Below are 6,195 nucleotides of genomic sequence, written 5' to 3'. Positions count from 1 at the left end.
AAGTTCTTCCTCTCTGATTGTCCTTTTATATCTGGCGAACAGATTGCATTGTCACTTCAGAACACCTGGTAACAATACAGGTGGTTAGCTGGATTCCAGTGCCAGGCATACACCCTAAATCCTGAATTGAAGGCAGGGTGATAGGCAGAAGGCTAAGCTTTAATTAGGTACAGTCTTTTTTCGCAGGAGCTGCCCTACACTTTGCACAGACCTGGGCTCTTCCCAGATTACCTCATCAACATCTTTACAAGCCAACTCAGAGAGTGCAGCAACCCTGTAGATGGACTGCTTCACCCAGTGCTGCTGGTTCTTATGGCTGTCACTCCCAATGGGTAGTTTTATTGCCAAATTCCATCATAAGCAGTACTACCCATACCCTGACCAAAGAAGGAAAGGGGAATTAACACGACCACCTGCCTACTGAATGCCAGGCGCTGTGCTAAATGTGAGGTACGTACATTTCATCCCATGAGGCTTTGTTGGGAGGTATAGGCTTTTGTTGCTTATGATAGAATGCCAATTGCTAAACATAGAAGAGATGATAGTTAGAAAAATCACCATTCTGCAATCATCATTGTAGTAACAAATCCAGGCAAGAATCATCAATATATGTTAAAACTAGGGAGTAAATATTTGAAATGGGAGAGGTTATCTACATAGTCTCTGAGTATCTCCCCACAGATTACTTAATAACTGTAAAGGGAGAAATTATAATTATATACCAAAGGAACCTGGAAGACATCACCTTAACCAAATAATCAAAATCAACATCACCAATAACAAGCCAGACAGATACCATGTGTTTCCTGATGCGATGCACTGAGAAGGACACAACATCACTTTTATGGTATTCCAGAGGGGACAGGTAACCTACGCTAATTATGAGGAAAGACAAGACAAACCCAATTGAAGGGCATTCTGCAAGACAACTAGCTTGTACTCTTCCAAAATGTCAATTCATGAGAGATAAAGGCTGGAGAAATGTTCTAGATTGAAGGAGACTAAAGAGACTACATAACTAAATGAACATGTGATCAGTTTGATTCTGGATTGGCTCTTGAGATAAGAAGTTAAAATTCCTCTAAAGAACATCATGGGGTAGTTGGCAGATTTTGTATATGGAATGCAAATTATGTAATAATGTATACATGTTAACTTCTGTGAATTTGATAGCTATATGGTGATTATGTAAGAGAAAGTTAGACCCTGAGATACTTAGGGATAAAGAGAAAAGTGCATGATATCTGCAACTCATCAAAGAATCATAAAGTGTTAGAGGTTGAAGAGTCCCTAGGGAGTCAGTAGGCCAAACCCTACTTTCTTGAAATGATGTAACCAAAATCCTGAGAAATTGAATTACCTGCCTAAGACCACACATCCAGCCAGGAGTTGAGCCCAAGACTCTCTGGCCAGGTGTTTACAGTGAGTGCATGATATTGGTTGCTGTTGTTTATCATGGGTCAATACTCAGACAAATACATTGTTATCCATTAACTACAAGCCAATATACACCCCCGTGGCTTCGACCCAGCTTCTGCTAACGCAAAGGTCCCTGACCTCTGGTGGGCTTACATCAGAGGACAATGACCCTGGGAACTGATTTATTTTCACCCTTCTCAGTGCTGACCATGGCCTCAGAGGTGGGTGCTCTCAGGAGAGCCCTCTGCTGTGTGCTGTAGTGGAAAGGGCTGGAGCTTATAGTTGGGTAGATCCGCTAGATGAGATCTGTTACTAGCCGTGTGACTTCAGGCACAACTACCATTTATTTTCTCTGGCACTCAGTTTTCTCATCAGTAAAAATGGAGACAACATGCATATTTATGGGACTAAATGAGATCATGTATGTGATATATGCCCATCCAACAGTAAGTCTTCGTAATTGGTCATTGTTTTCTTCTTTCTTTTGGTCCAAAAGTATTTATGACTATGAATGGAGCTGGGTGGAGGGCTTAGAGAACTCAATACAAGTTATTTAAACTTTTTTTCTCATTAGAAGAATATTACCAAAGTGATATGCACCTTACAGAAAATTAAAAAGCAAATAAAAAGACAAAAATATCTGACCATACTGTTAATAGTTGATGGATGTCCTTCCAGACTTTCCTGTATGCATATGTCACATGCATTTTTATACAAAAATACTGTAGTAGTATACTTACTATATAGTAACTTGCTTTTAAAATCCAACAATAGATCCTGACCATCTTGACATATAAAATAACCCACTTCTGCAGTTTAATTTTTAATTATTGCACAATAGTCTGTTGACAGGTGAGTCAGTTCTTCAAGCCAACTGTCTTTGATAGACAGGTAGATTGTTTCCAATTCTCTGCTATTATAAACAATGTTGCAATTAACATTCTTGTGAGTAGATCTTTGTTCATATCCTTAATAATTTGCTTAGTACAAATGCCTCAAATGGAATCACTGGGTCAAGGGCAATAATTAATGATAAAGCTTCTGATATAATTTGCCATATTAGGCCTGGTACAATGGTTCATGCCGGTGCTTTGGGAGCCCAAGGTGGGTGGGTCACTTGAGGCCAGGAGTTTAAGACCAGCCTGGGCACCACAGCAATACCTCATTTCTATAAAAAATGTTTTAAAAATTAGCTGAGCTTGACGGCATGTATCTATGGTCCCAGCTACTCAGAGGCTGAGGTGGTAGGATCACTTGAGCCCAGGAGTTTGAGCACTTAGTGAGCTATCATTGTGCCACTGCACTCCAGCCTGGGTGACAGGGCAAGACCGTGTCTCAAAAAAAAAATTAAGTAATAATTATAATAATTTGCCATATTGCTCTCCAGAAATATTATAACAATAGCCTTCACACCAGCAGTGGATAAAGCATTAGGAAATGATCTTCATTTGAATGTTCCAAGCACAGTAAACAAAAACTTATCTTGAAAGAGTAGAGAGGCCAGGAGAGGTGGCTTACGCCTGTAATCCCAGCACTTTGGGAGGCCAAGGTGGGCAGATCATGAGGTCAGGAGTTTGAGACTAGTCTGGCCAATATGGTGAAACCACATCCCTACTAAAAATACAAAAATTAGCCGTGTGTGGTGGCGCGTGCCTATAGTCCCAGCTACTTGGTAGGCGGAGGCAGGAGAATAGCTTGAACCTGCAAGGCGGAGATTGCAGTGAACCAAGATCATGCCACTGCCTTCCAGCCTGGGCAACAGAGTGGGAGTCCATCTCAAAAATAACATAAAATAAAATAAAATAAAATAAATTAAAAAAAGGCAGAGAGAGGCTGTGAAGCTTGACTTTCTGGGCTCCTCCATGGACTGGTGGATCAGGAGTTTAGGGGGTAAGAAGAAAGTTCCTTCATTCAAGTAATGTCGTAAGTTCTTCTCCAGTGAGTGAAGTAACTGCTCTGTGATAGGCACTATGCTAGTTGTTGGGGATAAAAAATTAAAAAGCTAGCTGGCACAGTGGCTCATGCTTGTAATCCCAGCAATTTGTGGGGCTGAGTTGGGAGGATTGTTTTAACCCAGGAGTTCTAGGTCAGCCTGGGCAAAATAGCAAGACCCCATCTCTTAAAAAATTTTTAAAAATTGGCCAGGCATGATGGCATGCACCTGTAGACCCAGCTACTCGGGAGGCTGAGGCAGGAGTATCACTTGAGCACAGGATGTCAAAGCTGCAGTGGGCCGTGATTGTGCCACTGCACTCCAGCCTGGTGACAGAGCGAGACCTTGTCTCAAAAAGATAATAAATAAATAAATGAATAAATAAGTGCCTAGTTTTCAATCCTCTGCATTGTAACAATTGAAGAATCCTTTGCTCGAGTGTAAGATAACAGACACCACAGGGCTGCCAAGGACTGGTCAGTGACAACAGGGAGGACAGCCTCCCTGATGAGAACATGGCAACACTCTTTGATATGAAATCTCGCATGATATTTGAGATATCTGGCTTGTAATGTAAAATTTGTGACAATTATTGCCTTCTATATGTTTTAGCAGGTAACAACATAATTGTTCAAGTGTTCTTTTTTCTGGAGTTAAGATAGTTAATTTTGAGTAAACCAGGCCCCAAATATTATGGGTAAATTTTTTTCTACTGTAATTCTTTATAGCTTGATATTATGTGTGTGTGCACGTGTGTGTGTGTGTGTGTGTGTGTGTGTGTGTGTGTGTGTGAGAGAGAGAGCTAGAAAGTGGAAGGGAAGAGGTGAGAAGAGGCATGGCGAGGGAATGACAAGATTAAGCGTGGAATAGTAGTGAGGCAAAAGCCTGAGAGTCTTCTGTGCTGTAATGATTTGCATAGCATACTAAAAGTACTGGGGAATCACTGAAGGTTTTAAGAACTAGATTCTCAGAAAGATCATTCCAGGTAGCAGCGATGAAAGGCCCCAGCTTCTTCAGGATACCCTTATCACCAAGGCCATAGGCAACAAAAACAGATGTGGGTGACGGTCCATCCTTGTAGGGTCTCAGCTCATGCTTGTGGGTTCCAATCTGCTGTCAATTCCCCCTACGTCATATCCATCTTCTCTTTCTGAACACCTGCCCTGCGGACTTCAGGCTCCAGCATCAGATACAGAGACAGGCTTACAGGGACTGTTTATCCAGCCCCCACAATTGCATAAGCCCTGTGGACTTCAGGCTCCAGCATCAGATACAGAGACAGCCTTACAGGGACTGTTTATCCAGCCCCCACAATTGCATAAGCCAGTTCCCTATAATACCTCCCTGGTTATGCTAAACCTGGTTGAACCCTGAGTGGTACAGTTGTGAATGAGAAAATCCTGTCAGAGGAGACACTGCTGAAAAGATGGAAGTGACAGTGGGAACAGAGAGGAAGGACTGGATCCGAGATATAATGAGGATGTAGGAAATCAAGACCTGGTGACTCATAAAATATGGCAGCAAGAAAGGGTGAGGGATCAAGAATGACTCCAGAGTTTTCAGGTTATTTGACCGAGTCAAAGAGTTGAGCTACCATTACAGGAATAGAGCAGATTTGGAAGGGGGAGGGGATGGGGACCTGAGTTTGAGGCTGTTAAATTTGAAGAATCTGAGCGATCTCTAAGTGGAGACTCATAATATGTGTTGGGTATACGGACTCAAGGTTTAAAGGGGATGAGCAAGATCATCATTAGCCAGAGGTGGAGGCTAAAATCTTGGGAGAGGGTGAGCTCATTCTGGGAGGGCAGGTAAGGCAATGAGATGAGAATGAGGTGGAGCTCTGAGAAAACTAATATTTAAGGAGGAAGCAGAGGAAGAGGAGCTAAAAGAAAAAGAGTCTGAGATTGAAAGGCTGCAGAGAAGAAAGACAGGCTCCATAGACCAGGAAGGATTGCATTCAAAAAGGAAAGGCGTGGTCAGAGGGTCAGATGCCATGGAGAGCTTGAATAAAAAAGGGCTAAACATGTATCCATTTGATCCAGAAGTTCCCCCGTGATCTTTGTTGGTAGCAGTTTCAGAGGAGTGGTGGGGATAGAAGCCAGATTACTGTGAAAAAAAAAATGAATAGGAGTTCAGGAAGTGGAGACAAGCAAGTATAGACCATTGTTCATAAAATCTTGTTTATAAATAGAAGGAAAACAAACATTAAAGAGAAGAATACAAGGTTGAGGAAAGACCTTTAAAAAAATAAATAGAAGGCCAGGAGCAGTGGTTCACACCTGTAATCCCAGCAGTCTGGGAGGCCAAGGCAGGCAGATCATTTGAGGTCAGGAGTTGAAGACCAGCCTGGCCAACATGGCTAAACCCCATCTCTACTAAAAATACAAAAAACCCCACAAAAATTAGCTGGGTGTGCTGGTGCACACCTGTAATCCAAGCTACTTGGGAGGCTGAGACAGGAGAATCGCTTGAACCCAGGAGACAGAGGTTGCAGTGAGCTGAGATGGCACCACTGCACTCCAGCCTGGGCGACAGAGTGAGACTCTGTCTCAAAATAAAAAATAAGCTGGGTGTGGTGGTTCACGCCTGTAATCCTAGCATTTTGGGAGGCTGAGGTGGGTGGATTCGCTGAGCTCAGGAGTTGGAGACCAGCCTGGGCAACATGGTGAAACCCCATTTCTACTAAAATACAAAAAACTAGCTGGGCGTGGTGGTGCATGCCTGTAATTCCAGCTACTAGGGAGGCTAAGGCAGGAGAATTGCTTGAACCAGGGAGGTAGAGGCTGCAGTGAGCCGAGATCACACCATTGCACTCCAGCCTGGGCGACAGAGCAAGACTCTCA

The sequence above is a fragment of the Homo sapiens genome, chromosome 3, assembly GCF_000001405.40.
Source record: "Homo sapiens chromosome 3, GRCh38.p14 Primary Assembly".
Taxonomy (NCBI): Eukaryota; Metazoa; Chordata; class Mammalia; order Primates; family Hominidae; genus Homo; species Homo sapiens.
Note: the sequence above shows the minus strand (reverse complement) of the source record.